General features: G+C 46.6%; 1 protein-coding gene across 30 annotated transcripts in view, besides 4 other annotated features; it reads right to left on the bottom strand.

The window, feature by feature from the left end:
- The window catches only part of PPARD (peroxisome proliferator activated receptor delta), an 85,621-nt gene extending 84,896 nt beyond the window's left edge, over window positions 1-725 (bottom strand). For 27 of the 30 annotated variants that reach the window (XM_047418919.1, XM_047418922.1, XM_047418929.1 and 24 more), the window contains exon 1: window positions 602-725. The gene's annotated coding sequence lies outside the window, so the exon portion shown is untranslated. Of the gene's footprint in view, window positions 1-573 lie in introns of all 30 variants that reach the window. The other 3 variants (XM_047418925.1, XM_017010974.2, XM_005249193.2) reach the window with 1 other exon arrangement.
- Window positions 264-313: a silencer, noted in NCBI's record as "silent region_17091". NCBI's record gives its function as "represses an Ori minimal core promoter by ATAC-STARR-seq in GM12878 lymphoblastoid cells {active_cell/tissue: GM12878}" and the evidence as "EXISTENCE:reporter gene assay evidence [ECO:0000049][PMID:35858748]".
- Window positions 344-483: a silencer, noted in NCBI's record as "silent region_17090". NCBI's record gives its function as "represses an Ori minimal core promoter by ATAC-STARR-seq in GM12878 lymphoblastoid cells {active_cell/tissue: GM12878}" and the evidence as "EXISTENCE:reporter gene assay evidence [ECO:0000049][PMID:35858748]".
- Window positions 664-873: a silencer, noted in NCBI's record as "silent region_17089". NCBI's record gives its function as "represses an Ori minimal core promoter by ATAC-STARR-seq in GM12878 lymphoblastoid cells {active_cell/tissue: GM12878}" and the evidence as "EXISTENCE:reporter gene assay evidence [ECO:0000049][PMID:35858748]".
- Window positions 15,525-15,584: a silencer, noted in NCBI's record as "silent region_17088". NCBI's record gives its function as "represses an Ori minimal core promoter by ATAC-STARR-seq in GM12878 lymphoblastoid cells {active_cell/tissue: GM12878}" and the evidence as "EXISTENCE:reporter gene assay evidence [ECO:0000049][PMID:35858748]".

The raw sequence follows: 17,682 nt of genomic DNA, 5'->3' as shown, positions 1-17,682 counted from the left end.
AAGAGGATGGGGACCCATAATACTAGGAGGGATCAGACCACAGATAAGAAGGGGACAGGGATGGGGAGAGAGAGTAAAGCCTGAGAGAGCAAGGATGGGAGGATGAAGGCAGGAGACAAGGATAACGAGGGGGACAGAGGAAAAGATCCCAGAGAAGACTCTCGCTAGATAGGGCAGTGGATTCAGGAACACCAGAAACGGGTGAAGGAAGAGGTCAGAGGCAGGGGAGGGGAATGGGAGAGGCCCCCGGGCCTGAGACGGGGTTCTCACAAGTGGGAGAAGACGAAGCCACCAGGCCCAAGAGGGGGCAAAGAGTAGGGTGGAAGGAGGCCCGTATTTCGGACTCACTCAAGCAGCTATGGGGGTCCAAGGGCGGGGGGGCGCAGGGTCAGCGGGGCGCCTACATGGCAACGCACGACGGCTGACCGGAGCGGGCCGGAGCATCAGGAAGCCGCCGTGACGCTGTCCGCGGACCCCGGCAGCTCCCCGCACCCCGTTCCCCGCCGCCGGGCCTTGCGCCCCAGTCCCGCTGGCCGCCTCGGCCCAGGCCCGGCGCTTCCCTCCGCCACTTGCCTGACCGCTTCTCTCGTCTCGGACTGACCTGTCCCGGCTGCCTACGGCGCCACCGCCGCCGTCCCGCAGGCTCCGCAGAATTCTCCCGCTCCTGCCAAAACTTTTCCCATTAATCCCCAGGTCCGCGGCGGCCGCAGCGTCACACGCTCCGCGGCCCGGCCCCGCCCCCGCCAGCGAGACGTCACCGCGCTGCTCGGCCTTTCCCTCCCCACGCCCCCTTCCGCCCGGCGGCGGCCAATCACCACGCCTCCTGGAGACTCCCCTAATTCTGCCTCTCCGCCCACCGCACGCTGCCCCGGGCCAGCCTGTGGCGCCCTCTGGTGCGGGATGCGGACGTAGCAGCTAAGGGAGGAGCAGGGGAGCGCCAGGTCCAGTAGAACAAGTCCAGCAAGTGACACAAGAGGGAATTTAAAGCTGGAAGGGAATTTCTAGGTCATCTAGTGCAACCTCCTCATCTTCCAGTGAAGAAACTTAGTCCTAGAAAAGGTACGTGACTTGCAGTGACAAGTCTGGAGAGACTCTTAACCCAGTGCTAGGTCCACTGGAGGAGATCATATCGCCTATAATTTTCAAAAAAGGGCTTTCCGCCTTCAAGAGGCTTCTACAACTGGAAATTTACGGTCTTAGAGTTCTTAACCTTTCTTCCCATGTGCTTATGCAATACGCTTATTCACCTAAAATAGGGGACATCCTCCTTATTGTTGTAGAAAATTCTGTTCTTATTAATCCACATCTTTAAGACCTGGAAGGGACCTATTATCCCAACCTACCGCTTAAGATGTACCACAGGAAACTACCTAGCAGCTGGGAGGCAATCTGGTGGAAGAAGTTGGCTTTCATCTGACGATGAACAAAGCTTGACTCTCAGGTATATGACCAATGCCTCCCCTCCATCATCATTAAAGATGACCCCTCCCCTCTCCTTCGGCCACACCTTCCGTAGGCCGCAAGCTCCTTAGGCCACACCTAGCTATCTGGATGAGTGATTTTTTTTTTTTTTTTTTTTTTTGAGACACAGTTTCACTCTGTCGCCCCTGCTGGAGTGCAGTTGCGCAATCTCAGCCCGCTGCAACCTCCGCCTCCCGGGTTCAAGCGATTATCCTGCCTCAACCTCCCAAGTAGCTGGGATTACAGGCATGCGCCACACGCCCAGCTAATTATTGTAATTTTAGTAGAGACAGGGTTTTGCCATGTTGCCCAGGCTGGTCTTGAACTCCTGGACTCAAGTTATCCTCCCACCTTAGCCTCCCAAAGTGCTGGAATTACAGGCGTGAGCCACCGTGCCTGGCAGGGATGAGTGATTTTTTCCCCCTTCTTTCTGCTTCTCTTTTTCTTTTTCTTTTTTTTCCCCTACTTTTTGAAATGCTTGTGCATTATATTTGTAACTTAGATGTCAACCTCCTTGCCCTTTGAGATTGAGGTAAAAATGGACGGTGAAAGTCAGAGTCCCTCCCTTAACATATTTGCAAATATCTGGGGATTTATATTCTCCTAAATATCTCTGCCTCTGGGTTTCTGCTTTTGCCAGGCTGTTGCGTACCACAGTTCAGAAGTCTGGAGAGGAAACTCAGCTCTCCCTAAGGACTGCCCGCACCCTTCCCACACAAAACATTGACGAGTACAAAGACATTAGGGTACTCTGGGCCCTGGGGGAGGTCATATGATACATGGCAAACAGTTTAAACTCACCCCTCAGAAGTTTTTTTTTTTTTTTTTTCCCAAGGCAGAAGAATTTTTCTTAGTGCAGAACAAAATGAGAAGTCTCCCATGTCTACTTCTTTCTACACAGACACGGCAACCATCCGATTTCTCAATCTTTTCCCCACCTTTCCCGCCTTTCTATTCCACAAAGTCGCCATTGTCATCCTGGCCCGTTCTCAATGAGCTGTTGGGCACACCTCCCAGACGGGGTGGTGGCCGGGCAGAGGGGCTCCTCACTTCCCAGTAGGGGCGGCCGGGCAGAGGCGCCCCTCACCTCCCAGACGGGGCGGCTGGCCGGGTGGGGGGCTGACCCCCCTACCTCCCTCCCGGACGGGGCGGCTGGCCGGGCGGGGGGCTGACCCCCCACCTCCCTCCCGGACGGGGTGGCTGCCGGGCGGAGACGCTCCTCACTTCCCAGATGGGGTGGCTGCCGGGCGGAGAGGCTCCTCACTTCTCAGACGGGGCAGCTGCCGGGCGGAGGGGCTCCTCACTTCTCAGACGGGGTGGTTGCCAGGCAGAGGGTCTCCTCACTTCTCAGACGGGGCGGCCGGGCAGAGACGCTCTTCACCTCCCAGACGGGGTCGCTGCCGGGCAGAGGCGCTCCTCATATCCCAGATGGGGCGGCGGGGCAGAGGCGCTCCCCACATCTCAGACGATGGGCGGCCGGGCAGAGACGCTCCTCACTTCCTAGATGTGATGGCGGCCGGGAAGAGGCGCTCCTCACTTCCTAGATGGGATGGCGGCCGGGCGGAGACGCTCCTCACTTTCCAGACTGGGCAGCCAGGCAGAGGGGCTCCTCACATCCCAGACGATGGGCGGCCAGGCAGAGACACTCCTCACTTCCCATACGGGGTGGCGGCCAGGCAGAGGCTGCAATCTCGGCACTTTGGGAGGCCAAGGCAGGCGGCTGGGAGGTGTAGGTTGTAGTGAGCCGAGATCACGCCACTGCACTCCAGCCTGGGCACCATTGAGCACTGAGTGAACGAGACTCCGTCTGCAATCCCGGCACCTCGGGAGGCCGAGGCTGGCGGATCACTCGCGGTTAGGGGCTGGAGACCGGCCCGGCCAACACAGCGAAACCCCGTCTCCACCAAAACCAGTCAGGCGTGGCGACGCGTGCCTGCAATCGCAGGCACTCGGCAGGCTGAGGCAGGAGAATCAGGCAGGGAGGTTGCAGTGAGCCGAGATGGCAGCAGTACAGTCCAGCTTCGGCTCCGCATGAGAGGGAGACCGTGGAAAGAGAGGGAGACCGTGGGGAGAGGGAGCGGGGGAGGGGGAGGGGGCCCCTCAGAAGTTTTTAGAAGTCCTTTCCACACCCCCAGCTGAGGTTTTCTAACTGGCCCTGCACCCTCTAGCCTCCTCCAAAATCACTAACTCTCCCTCCTGCCCCACCATTCTCTCCTCTGTCCCACCCTCTCTGGAGAAAACACAAATTCCTCTGGCTTTCTACGGAGAAAGAGAAAGCGACATTTTAACCGTATCTCTTTGTTGCTTAAGTTCCTGCCAACACTCATGCTTTGCAGATCTGTCTACCCCTAATAGGCTTATTTCCCCTGTAAACTAAAAACAAATCCTAAGCCCCCTAACTAATTGAATGGACCCTCTTGGCCAAGGAGACCCCAGAAAAACCTTAAAAACTGAGTTTCCAGCCATGACAGGTCAGGGGGTCAGACATGCCTGGTTATACTCCCTCCCTTTTGCAGTTCAGACACAACATCTGACCAGCATCAATGTTAAAATAGAGATCATAGACTAACAGAATGCACTCTTTATGGCAATAAGATACCAAATTATAATCAGGACCTAAGGCCGTGTCAGGTAAGGGTTAAGTCACACACGCCTACACCTAAAGAATAAACTATATTTTCTGCCAGGCACGGTGGCTCACGCCTGTAATTCCAACACTTTCAGAGGCCGAGGGGGGCAGACTGCTTGAGCGCAGGAGTTCGAGACCAGCCTGGACAACATAGTGAGACCCTGTCTCTTAAAAAAAAAAAAAAAAAAAAAGAACGGCGGCTCACGCCTGTAATCCCAGCACTTTGGGAGGCCTAGGCAGGCAGATCACGAGGTCAGGAGATCGAGACCATCCTGGCTAACATGGTGAAACCCCATCTCTACTAAAAATACACAAAAAAATTAGCCAGAATATGTATGTTTAGCCAACCTGTTCAGCATAAAGCTCCTGTCCCAGCCCCTCTTCCTTTCAAGTACCTGCAACAAAATTCAACAACCCTTCATGCTAAAAACTCTCAATAAACTAGGTATTGATGGGACGTATCTCAAAATAATAAGAGCTATTTATGACAAACCCACAGCCAATATCATACTGAATGGGCAAAAACTGGAAGCATTCCCTGTGAAAACTGGCACAAGACAGGGATGCCCTCTCTCACCACTCCTATTCAACATAGTGTTGGAAGTTCTGGCCAGGGCAGTCAGGCAAGAGAAAGAAGTAAAGGGTATTCAATTAGGAAAAGAGGAAGTCAAATTGTCCCTGTTTGCAGATGACATGATTGTATATTTAGAAAACCCCATCATCTCAGCCCAAAATCTCCTCAAGCTGATAAGCAAGTTCAGCAAAGTCTCAAGATACAAAATTAATGTGCAAAAATCACAAGCATTCCTATACACCAATAACAGACAAACAGAGAGCCAAATCATGAGTGAACTCCCATTCACAATTGCTACAAAGAGAATAAAATACCTAGGAATACAACTTACAAGGGATGTGAAGGACCTCTTCAAGGAGAACTACAAACCACTGCTCAATGAAATAAAGGAGGACACAAACAAATGGAAGAACATTCCATGCTCATGGATAGGAAGAATCAATATCGTGAAAATGGCCATACTGCCCAAGGTAATTTATAGATTCAGTGCCATCCCCATCAAGCTACCAATGACTTTCTTCACAGAATTGGAAAAAACTACTTTAAAGTTCATATGGAGCCAAAAAAGCCCACATTTCCAAGACAATCCTAAGCCAAAAGAACAAAGCTGGAGGCATCACACTACCTGACTTCAAACTGTACTACAAGGCTACAGTAACCAAAACAGCATGGTACTGGTACCAAAACAGAGATATAGACCAATGCAACAGAACACAGGCCTCATAAATAATACCACACATCTACAACCATCAGATCTTTGACAAATCTGACAAAAACAAGAAATGGGGAAAGGATTCCTTATTTAATAAATGGTGCTGGGAAAACTGGCTAGCAATATGTAGAAAGCTGAAACTGGATTTCTTCTTTATACCTTACACAAAAATTAATTCAAGATGGATTAAAGACTTAAATGTTAGACCTAAAACCATGAAAACCCTAGAAGAAAGCCTAGGCAATACCATTCAGGACATAGGCATCGGCAAGGACTTCATGACTAAAACACCAAAAGCAATGGCAACAAAAGCCAAAAGAGCTTCTGCACAGCAAAAGAAACTACCATCAGAGTGAACAGGCAACCTACAGAATGGGAGAAAATTTTTGCAATCTATCCATCTGACAAAGGGTTAATATCCAGAATCTACGAGGAACTTAAACAAATTTACAAGAAAAAAACAACCCCATCAAAAAGTGGGCAAAGGATATGAATAGACACTTCTCAAAAGAAGACATTTATGCAGCCAACAGACACATGAAAAAATGCTCATCATCACTGGTCATCAGAGAAATGCAAATCAAAACCACAATGAGATACCATCTCACACGAGTTAGAATGACGATCATTAAAAGGTCAGGAAACAACAGATGCTGGAGAGGATGTGGAGAAACAGGAACGCTTTTACACTGTTGGTGGGAGTGTAAACTAGTTCAACAATTGTGGAAGACAGTGTGGCGATTCCTCAAGGATCTAGAACTAGAAATACCATTTGACCCAGTGATCCCATTACTGGGTATATACCTAAAGAATTATAAATCATGCTACTGTAAAGACACATGCACACGTATGTTTATTGCAGCACTATTCACAATAGCAAAGACTTGGAACCAACCCAAATGTCCATCAATGATAGACTGGACTAAGAAAATGTGGCACATATACACCATGGAATACTGTGCAGCCATAAAAAATGATGAGTTCATGTCCTTTGCAGGCACATGGATGAAGCTGGAAACCATTATTCTGAGCAAACCATCACACAGACAGAAAACCAAACACCACATATTGTCACTCATAGGTGGGAATTGAACAATGAGAACACTTGGACACAGGGCAGGGAACATCACACACCAGGGCCTGTCATGGGGTGGGGGGCTGGGGGAGGGATAGCATTAGGAGAAATACCTTACGTAAATGATGAGTTAATGGGTGCAGCAAACCAACTTGGCACATGTATACCTATGTAACAAACCTGCACATTGTGCATACATACCCTAGAACTTAAAGTATATATATATAAAAAAATTAGCTGGGCGTGGTGGTGAGCGCCTGTAATCCCAGCCACTTGGGAGGCTGAGGCAGGAGAGTCGCTTGAACCCGGGAGGCAGAGGTTGCAGTGAGCTGAGATTGCACCACTGCACTCCAGCCTTGATGACAGAGCGAGATTGTCTCAGAAAAAAAAAAAAAGAGCAGTGGTTTGTAGTTCTCCTTGAAGAGGTCCTTCACATCCCTTGTAAGTTGTATTCCTAGGTATTTTATTCTCTTTGTAGCAATTGTGAATGGGAGTTCACTCATGATTTGGCTCTCTGTTTGTCTGTTATTGGTGTATAGGAATGCTTGTGATTTTTGCACATTAATTTTGTATCTTGAGACTTTGCTGAACTTGCTTATCAGCTTAAGGAGATTTTGGGCTGAGATGATGGGGTTTTCTAAATATACAATCATGTCATCTGCAAACAGGGACAATTTGACTTCCTCTTTTCCTAATTGAATACCCTTTACTTCTTTCTCTTGCCTGACTGCCCTGGCCAGAACTTCCAACACTATGTTGAATAGGAGTGGTGAGAGAGGGCATCCCTGTCTTGTGCCAGTTTTCACAGGGAATGCTTCCAGTTTTTGCCCATTCAGTATGATATTGGCTGTGGGTTTGTCATAAATAGCTCTTATTATTTTGAGATACGTCCCATCAATACCTAGTTTATTGAGAATTTTTAGCATGAAGGGTTGTTGAATTTTGTTGAAGGTCTTTTCTGTATCTATTGAGATAATCATGTGGTTTTTGTCGTTGGTTCTGTTTATGTGATGGATTACGTTTCTTGATTTGTGTATGTTGAACCAGCCTTGCATCCCAGGGATGAATCCGACTTGATCATGGTGGATAAGCTTTTTGATGTGCTGCTGGATTCGGTTTGTCAGTATTTTATTGAGGATTTTCGCATCAATGTTCATCAGGCATATTGGTCTAAAATTCTCTTTTTTGTTGTTGTGTCTCTGCCAGGCTTTGGTATCAGGATGATGATGGCATCATAAAATGAGTTAGGGAGGATTCCCTCTTTTTCTCTTGATTGGAATAGTTTCAGAAGGAAGGGTACCAGCTCCTCTTTGTACCTCTCGTAGAATTCGGCTGTGAATCCATCTGGTCCTGGACTTTTTTTGGTTGGTAGGCTATTGATTATTGCCTCAATTTCAGAGCCTGTTATTGGTCTATTCAGAGATTCACCATCTTCCTGGTTTATTCTTGGGAGGGTGTATGTGTCCAGGAATTTATCCATTTCTTCTAGATTTTCTAGTTTATTTGCTTAGAGGTGTTTATAGTATTCTCTGATGGTAGTTTGTATATCTGTGGGATTGGTGGTGATATCCCCTTTATCATTTTTTATTGCGTCTATTTGATTCTTCTCTCTTTTCTTCTTTATTAGTCTTGCTAGCGGTCTATCAATTTTGTTGATCTTTTCAAAACACCAGCTCCTGGATTCATTGATTTTTTGAAGGGTTTTTCGTGTCTCTATCTCCTTCGGTTCTGTTTTGCTCTTAGTTATTTCTTGCCTTCTGCTAGCTTTTGAATTTGTTTGCTCTTGCTTCTCTAGTTCTTTTAATTGTGATGTTAGGGTGTCGATTTTAGATCTTTCCTGCTTTCTCTTGTGGGCATTTAGTGCTATAAATTTCCGTCTACACACTGCTTTAAATGTGTCCCAGAGATTCTGGTATGTTGTGTCTTTGTTCTCATTGGTTTCAAAGAACATCTTTATTTCTGCCTTCATTTCGTTATTTACCCAGTAGTCATTCAGGAGCAGGTTGTTCAGTTTCCATGTAGTTGTGTGGTTTTCACTGAGTTTCTTAATCCTGAGTTCTAATTTGATTTCACTGTGGTCTGAGAGACAGTTTGTTGTGGTCTTTTACATTTGCTGAGGAGTGCTTTACTTCCAACTATGTGGTCAATTTTGGAATAAGTGCAATGTGGTGCTGAGAAGAATGTATATTCTGTTGATTTGTGGTGGAGAGTTCTGTAGATGTCTATTAGGTTGGCTTGGTGCAGAGCTGAGTTCAAATCCTGGATATCCTTGTTAACCTTCTGTCTCGTTGATCTGTTTAATGTTGACAGTGGGGTGTTAAAATCTCCCATTACTATTGTGTGGGAGTCTAAGTCTCTTTTTAGGTCTCTAAGGACTTGCTTTATGAATCTGGGTGCTCCAGTATTGGGTGCACAAATATTTAGGATAGTTAGTTCCTCTTGTTGAATTGATCCCTTTACCATTATGTAATGGCCTTGTCTCTTTTCATCTTCGTTGGTTTAAAGTCTGTTTTATCAGAGACTAGGATTGCAACCCCTGCTTTTTTTTGCTTTCCATTTGCTTGGCAGATCTTCCTCCATCCCTTTATTTTGAGCCTATGTGTGTCTGTGCACGTGAGATGGGTCTCCTGAATACAGCACACTGATGGGTCTTACTCTTTATCCAATCTGCCAGTCTGTGTCTTTTAATTGGGCATTTACCCCATTTACATTTAAGGTTAATATTGTTATGTGTGAATTTGATCCTGTCATTATGATGTTAGCTGGTTATTTTGCCCATTAGTTGATGCAGTCTCTTCCTAGCAACAGTGGTCTTTACAATTTGGCATGTTTTTGCGGTGGCTGATACCGGTTGTTCCTTTCCATGTTTAGTGCTTCCTCCAGGAGCTCTTGTAAGGCAGGCCTGGTGGTGACAAAATCTCAGCATTTGCTTGTCTGTAAAGGATTTTATTTCTCTTTCACTTATGAAGCTTAGTTTGGCTGGATATGAAATTCTGGGTTGAAAATTCTTTTCTTGAAGAATGTTGAATATTGGCCCCCACTCTCTTCTGGCTTGTAGAGTTTCTGCTGAGAAATCCACTGTTAGTCTGATGGGCTTCCCTTTGTGGGCAACCTGACCTTTCTCTCTGGCTGCCCTTAACATTTTTTCCTTCATTTCAACCTTGGTGAATCTGACAATTATGTGTCTTGGGGTTGCTCTTCTCGAGGAGTATCTTTGTAGTGTTCTCTGTATTTCCTGAATTTGAATGTTGGCCTGCCTTGCAAGGTTGGGGAAGTTCTCCTGGATAATATCCTGAAGAGTGTTTTCCAACTTGGCTTCATTCTCCCCATCACTTTCAAGTACACCAATCAAATGTAGATTTGGTCTTTTCACATAGTCCCATATTTCTTGGAGGCTTTGTTCATTTCTTTTTACTCTTTTTTCTCTAAACTTCTCTTCTCACTTTATTTCATTAATTTGATCTTCAATCACTGATACCCTTTCTTCCACTTGATCGAATCAGCTACTGAAGCTTGTGCATGTGTCACGTAGTTCTCATGCCATGGTTTTCAGCTCCATCAGGTCATTTAAGGTCTTCTCTACACTGTTTATTCTAGTTAGCCATTTGTCTAATCTTTTTTCAAGGTTTTTGTCTTCCTTGCGATGGGTTCGAACATCCTCCTTTAGCTCAGAGAAGTTTGTCATTACCAACCTTCTGAAGCCTACTTCTGTCAACTAAAGTCATTCTTCGTCCAGCTTTTTTCCATTGCTGGTGAGGAGCTGCAATCCTTTGGAAGAGAAGAGGCACTCTGGTTTTTAGAATTTTCAGCTTTTCTGCTCTGTTTTCTCCCCATCTTTGTGGTTTTATCTACCTTTGGTCTTTGATGTTGGTGACCTATGGATGGGGTTTTGGTGTGGATATCATTTTTGTTAATGTTGATGCTATTCCTTTCTGTTTGTTAGTTGTCCTTCTAACAGTCAGGTCCCTCAGCTGCAGGTCTGTTGGAGTTTGCTGGAGGTCCACTCCAGACCCTGTTTGCCTGGGTATCACCAGCAGAGGCTGCAGAACAGCAAATATTGCAGAACAGCAAATATTGCTGCCTGATCCTTCCTCTGGAAGCTTCATCCCAGAGGAGCACCCGCCTGTATGAGGTGTCAGTCGACCCCTACTGGGAGGTGCTCCCAGTTAGGCTACACAGGGGTCAGGGACCCACTTGAGGAGGCAGTCTGTCTGTTCCCAGAGCTCAAATGCCATGCTGGGAGAACCACTGCTCTTAAGAGCTGTCAGATAGGGACTTTTAAGTCTGCAGAAGTTTCTGCCTACTTTTGTTCAGCTATGCCCTGCCCCTAGAGGTAGAGTCAACAGAGGCAGCAGGCTTTGCTGAGCTGCAGTGGACTCCGCCCAGTTCAAGCTTCCCTGGCTGCTTTGTTTACCTACTCAAGCCTCAGCAATGGCAGATGCCCCTCCCACTGCCAGGCTGCTGCCAGGCTGCTGCCTCGCATGTCAATCTCAGACTGCTGTGCTAGCAGTGAGCAAGGCTCTGTGGGCGTGGAACCCTCCAAGCCATGCGTGGCATATAATCTCCTGGTGTGCCGTTTACTAAGACCATTGGAAAAGCACAGTATTTAGGCAGGAGTGTCCTGTTTTTCCAGGTACAGTCTGTCTCGGCTTCCTTTGGCTAGGAAAGGGAAATCCCCCAACCCCTTCTGCTTCCTGTGTGAAGTGATGTCCTGCCCTGCTTTGGCTTGCCCTCCGTAGGCTGCACCCACTGTCCAACCAGTCCCAGTGAGATGAACCAGGTACCTCAGTTGGAAATGCAGAAATCACCCATCTTCTGCGTTGATCACCCTGGGAGCTGCAGACTGGAACTGTTCCTATTCAGCCGTGTGCTAATTTTTGTATTTTTAGTAGAGACGGGATTTTGCCATGTTGGCCAGGCTGGTCTGGAACTCCTGACCTCAAGTGATCTGTCTGCCTCAGCCTCCCAAAATGTTGGGATTACAGGCGTGAGCCACCACGCCTGGCCAAATTTGTGATTTTTTTTTGAGATGGAGTCTTGCTCTGTCACCCAGGCTGGAGTGCAGTGGTGTGATCTCAGCTCACTGCAAGCTCTGCCTCCTGAGTTCACACCATTCTCCTGCCTCAGCCTCCCAAGCAGCTGGGACTACAGCCCGCCACCATGCCCGGCTAATTTTTTGTATTTTTAGTAGAGACAGGGTTTCACTGTGTTAGCCAGGATGGTCTCAATCTCCTGGCCTCATGATCCACCCGCCTCGACCTCCCAAAGTGCTGGGATTATAGGCATGAGCCATCGTGCCTGGCCCAAATTTGTGATTTTTAAGTTAACATTCCTAATAGAGACAGTTTGGATCACGAGGTCAGGAGATTGCAACCACCCTGGCTAACACAGTGAAACCCTGTCTCTACTAAAAAGTACAAAAAATTAGCCAGACGTGGTGGCACATGCCTGTAATCCCAGCTACTCAGGAGGCTGAAGCAGGAGAATCACTTGAACCTGGAAGGTGGAGTTTGCAGTGAACCAAGATCGTGCCATTGCACTCCAGCCTGGGTGACAGAGCAAGACTGTCTCAAAAAAACAAAAAGACAATTCCTCTCCTAAAAGAAATTCAAGGAGCACTGTTAAGTTATTCTATTTTTCACTTCATTTTTATATTAAGAATATATGAAATTTAATATATCTAATAAATACCTATCTCTATATTTATTATTTAGAACGCATAATTCTACCTTGGATAGTCTGCTTGAGGAAATAATCCTAAATACATAAAAGGCTTTGTACACAAAAATGCTCATTCAGTATTATTTAAACCAACAAAAAACTGGAGATAACCTAATTGTCCAACAACAGAGAAATGTTTAGGTAAATCATGCTGTATCCTTCTGATGGAATATTATGCAGCCATTAAAAATGATATTTAAAAAGAGCTGGTAATATGGTCTGAGAAACCAAAACACACACCCCTTTATCACTAAGATAGAACCTAAGGTTAAGGAAACAAAGGTTAATTATACGGTTCAACGCAGCTGGCATGGCAACTCCCTAAATTCCTGTGGCTATAGGAAAAACCACATTCTGGATAAACTGTCTCAACAACAGGAGGTATCAGGCAAATGATCAGACCTCGCCTAGCTAATTTACAAGCCAGACCACTACAACTCTGATTGGACAGAGGACTGGCCTTACATTCTTTTCTTTCTTTCTTTTGTTTTTTGAGACCGAGTTTCGCTCCTGTTGCCCGGGCTAGAGTGCAATGGCGCGATCTCAGCTCACCACAACTTCTGCCTCCAGGGTTCAAGCGATTCTCCTGCCTCAGCCTCCTGAGTAGCTGGGATTACAGGCATTTGCCACCACGCCCAGCTAATTTTGTATTTTTAGTAGAGATGGGGTTTCTCCATGTTGGTCAGGCTGGTCTCAAACTCCTGACCTCAGGTGATCTGCCCGCCTCAGCCTCCCAAAGTGCTGGGATTACAGGTGTGAGCCACCGCGCCCAGCCCTTTTCTTTATTTTTTTAACATTTTTTATTTTTTATAATTGAGATGGGAGCTCCCCATGTTGCCCAGGCTTGTCTCGAACTCCTGAGCACAAGCAATCCACCCACCTTGGCCTCCCAAAGTGCTGGGATTACAGGCATGAGCCACTGGCCTACAAACATTCTATTTTGATAAGCAGTTGCAGACCTTAAACCAGTTTCAGCCAGTTTATAGAGGCTCCACACAAACCGTCTTTGTGTTCTACAGTTCACCTTTGATGTAAAGAGCCAAATTCCACCTCATTTTAATGCTGAAACCTGCCCCAAAGTGAACATGGGATTTATGTTACATATATGTTTGCCCATTGCACATGTACTTGGCTCCCCTCATAAATATGTATAGTTTTTCCCCCAAAACCGCTAAATATGTATGACTATTGTGTAGTACAGACCCTGTGAGGCTTAAAACCCAACCTGCCCTTTCCCTCTTTGAAGAGAATAGAGAGCACCTTCAGTCCATGTCTGAGACTATCTCTTCCTGGTTTGCAAACTGGTATCACTTAGTAAAGCTCTCCTATCTACTATTTAACCATCATGGTGGTCTTTTGGACAATAATAAAGTGGAAAAATGTTATAATCTGATATTAAGTGGAAAAGGATATGATGATACGTATGGAGTGAAATCACACTGTTTTGAAAACTAAAAATTAGCATGGAAAAAAACTGAAAGGAGCCGGGCATGGTGGCGTGTGCCTATAGTACCAGCTACTCAGTAGGCTGAGGCACAAGGATCGCTTGAACCTGGGAGGTGGAGGTTGCAGTGAGCTGAGATTGCTCTGCTGCACTCCAGCCTGGCGTCAGAGTGAGACCCTGTCTCAAAAAAAAAAAAAAAATTCCGGGCACAGTGACTCAACCTATAATCCCAGCACTTTGGGAGGCTGAGGAGGGTGGATCACTTAACATCAGGAGTTCGAGACCAGCGTGATCAACATGGTGAAACCCGTCTCTACTAAAAATACAAAAAAAATTAGCCGGGCGTAGTGGCAGGCGCCTGTAGTCCCAGCTACTCAGGAGGCTCAGGCAGGAGAATCGCGTGATCCCAGGAGGTGGAGGCTGCAGTGAGCCAAGATCGTGCCACTTCACTCCAGCCTGGACAACAGAGCAAGACTCTCTCTCCAAAATAAACAAAAACAAACAAACAAAAAAACTGAAAGGAAACACACAAAAATGTTACCAGTAACTGTCTTTGGATTGTGGTTCTGCAAGTTATTGTTTTTCTATGTTTTTTTTCTGAGCATGCTTTTTTTCCATAATAGAAACATTGTTTATTTTCTTCTTCTTCTTCTTTTTTTTTTTGAGATGGAGTCTAGCTGTGTCGCCCAGACTGGAGTGCAGTGGCGTGATCTAGGCACAATGCAACCTCCACCTCCCAGGTTCAAGCGATTCTCATGCCTCAGCCTCCCGAGTAGCTGGGATTACAGGCACCCTCCACCACACTGGCTAATTTTTGTATTTTTAGTAGAGACAGGTTTCAACATGTTGGCCATGCTTGTCTGGAACTCCTGACCTCAGGTGATTTACTCGCCTTGGCCTCCCAAAGTGCTGGGATTACAGGTGTGAGCCACCTTGCCTGGCTATTTTCTAAGAACAACAAAAATCTTCTTTATATTAAGAAAAAACATATATCCTCTGATGCTCTTACCCAATAATCTTAGTTCTACCCATTGGAGGTAAACTAAGTCAAAATTATTTTCTATGTAAGAGCTTTTCTGATGTTTGACATTTGACTTCATTCCCCTATATATTTTCTTTCCTTCCTTCCTTCCTTCCTCCCTTCCTTCCTTCCTTCCTCTCTCTCTCCCTCCCTCCTTTCTTTCTTCTCCCTCTTTCTCTCTCTCTCTCTCTCTTTCTTTTTTTTTGAGACAGGGTCTTGCTCTGTTGCCTGGGTTGGAGTGCAGTGGAGTGATCTCGGCAATCTCTGCTTCCTGGGCTGAAGCAGCAATCTTCCCACCTCAGCCTCCAGAGTAGCTGGAACTACAGGCATTTTCTTCCAGCCTCCTGTGCAGCTAGGACACAGTCACATGACCAAGGCACACCAATCAGATGTATTGGAAGGTGGAAAGATGAACCAGGAAGCACACATAATTGATTCAGGTGAGTGGCAGCAGCAGTTCCACCCAATTTCCAGAGACAGCCAGGGCAGCAGTTGTAAGAGCAGCATCCAGCATTTGGTAAGATTAGCCAAGGAAGCAGCAGCTTCTGTACCCACAGGTGGCAGCTGGAGTGTGTTCACAAGAACTGTTGTGTGGCTTGATTTGGGTACTGTTTCTGACTACACAGCCTCCAAGACAGCTCACTCGACCTCCCAATTATTTAAGGTACTCCCTTATATTCTACTAATAAATTTCTTTTCTGGAAAGTCAGTTAAGTCAGCTTAAATCAGTCAGTTTCCGTTACTTGAATCACAAACCTAGACTAAAATAGCTTCCTTGAATCTTCATTTTGACTAGATTTGCCCTGGGGGACAGCTCAGAGTGGGAAAAGTTGATTCCTGCCAAGCATCTACAGCCCGTTCCAGACCAGACAGGGATTTCAGCTACCAAAACCTGCTCTGATGCCTGATTATTGTGTACCTGAACAACTTACAGTGCAGAGTGGGAAGGCTGGATTGCCTCTGAATTTGATTCTCCATAGCCATTTCAGCCTCTAGCCAGCAGGTGGGGGCCTCCTCAGTCTTCTGAAATCAGCCTGCCAGGCATCGCCCTCTCCTTCCCCTCTGCTGCAGGAACTAGAGAGGCGACTCAGTAGGCACCCCTTGGGCCAGGTGGACTCCTGGCAATAGTTGCTAACACGCCTCTTGTACTCCAGCCCCACTTCCCCATCCATCCTCACATACAAGCCACAGAAAAAGAGAAGACGTGGGACCACAAATGCTGTGCATTCCATATGGCCCCTAGGGTTTATGTGTATCTGTGAAGGCATCAGAGACAGGACACACTTTTCTTTGTCCAGGGTGATGGAAAGGACACAGGAGTTATTTTCTCACCCTGGAATTAAAAGACTAGAAAATACATTCTCCTTCCACCTAGAAATGTCCCCCAAGGTTGATGGCTTCTCATGCCAGTCCCATCATGGCTCGCATTCAGGTGTCAGAGTGATCTTCCTTTCATTATATCACTATATCATGCCTCCACTGTCGATCCATCCCTATGTCCCACCATAGAATATTTAAAAGCCTGGAATGGACCCCATTTACAAGTGAGGAAACTGAGGCTCAGAGGTTGGCTTGCCACCTCAAATCTAAACTCTGCGTAGCTTCCAAGAATCTCTATAACCAGGTCTCACTCCACCTTTCTACTCGTGGGTTCTCCATAGCAAAATTGCCCTTCCAATCCTGTGAGAATATATAAGAACCATACAGTCCCTTGCATATTTTTTATTTTATTTTATTTATTTATTTTCTTGAGACGGAGTCTCACTCTGTCACCCAGGCTGGAGTGCAGTGGTGCGATCTTGGCTCACTGCAAGCTCTGCCTCCTGGGTTCACCCCATTCTCCTGCCTCAGCCTCCCGAGTAGCTGGGACTATAGGCGCCCACCACCACACCCGGCTAATTTTTTTGTATTTTTAGTAGAGACGGGGTTTCACCGTGTTAGCCAGGATGGTCTCGATCTCCTGACCTTGTGATCCGCCCGCCTCGGCCTCCCAAAGTGCTAGGATTGCAGGCGTGAGCCAACCGCGCCTGGCCGCCCCTTGAATATTTTTTAAGATAGTAATTCCAAGCTTTATCTAAGATGAAGCATTTTTTAGCCAATCAATTTTTTAAATTTTTTTATTTTTTGGAAACAGAGTCTCACTCTGTCACTCAAGCTGGAGTGAAGTGGCACTATCATGGCTCACTACAACCTCTGCCTCCTGGACTCAAGCAATCCTCCCACCTCAGCCTCCGGAGTAATTGGGAATACAGGTGCACACCACCACGCCCAGTCTAATTTTTTTTTTTTTGAGACGGAGTCTCACTCTGTTGCCCAGGCTGGAGTGCAGTGGCGTGATCTCAGCTCACTGCAGCCTCTGCCTCCCGGGTTCAAGCGATTCTCCTGCCTCAGCCTCCTGAGTAGCTGGGACTACAGGCACACGCCACCATGCCTGGCTAATTTTTGTATTTTTAGTAGAGACGGGGTTTCACCATGTTGGCCAGGCTAGTCTCGAACTCCTGACCTTGTGATCCACCCATTTTGGCCTCCCAAAGTGCTGGGATTACAGGTATGAGCCACCGCGCCTGGCCCTACCCAGCCTAATTTTTTTTTTTTTTTTTTTTTTGAGACAGAGTCTTGCTCTGTCACCCAGGCTGGAGTGCAGTGGCGTGATTTCGGCTCACTGCAACCTCTGTCTCCTGGGTTCAAGCAATTCTTCTGCCTCAGCCTCCCGAGTAGCTGGGACTACAGGCACGTGCCACCATGCCCAGCTAATTTTTGTATTTTTAGTAGAGACGGGGTTTCATCCTGTTGGCCAGGCTGGTCTTGAACTCCTGACCTCATGATCCACCCACCTTGGCTTCCCAAAGTGCTGGGATTATAGGCGTGAGGCACCGTGCCCAGCCCTGGGCCTTTTTTTTTTTTTCTTTTTATAGCTATCTTTTTCCTGCAGTAATTTTTTAAATTTTTAAATTCTTGACATTATAGAACTAAACTGAAATTTATTAACATTCCAGTCTTACATTTCTTATTGACAAACAGAAATAACATTCATGGGTCAAAAAA

This window comes from Homo sapiens, chromosome 6 (assembly GCF_000001405.40).
Source record: "Homo sapiens chromosome 6, GRCh38.p14 Primary Assembly".
In the NCBI taxonomy this organism is placed as follows: domain Eukaryota; kingdom Metazoa; phylum Chordata; class Mammalia; order Primates; family Hominidae; genus Homo; species Homo sapiens.
Note: the sequence above shows the minus strand (reverse complement) of the source record. Positions and strands in the feature narration are given on the sequence as shown.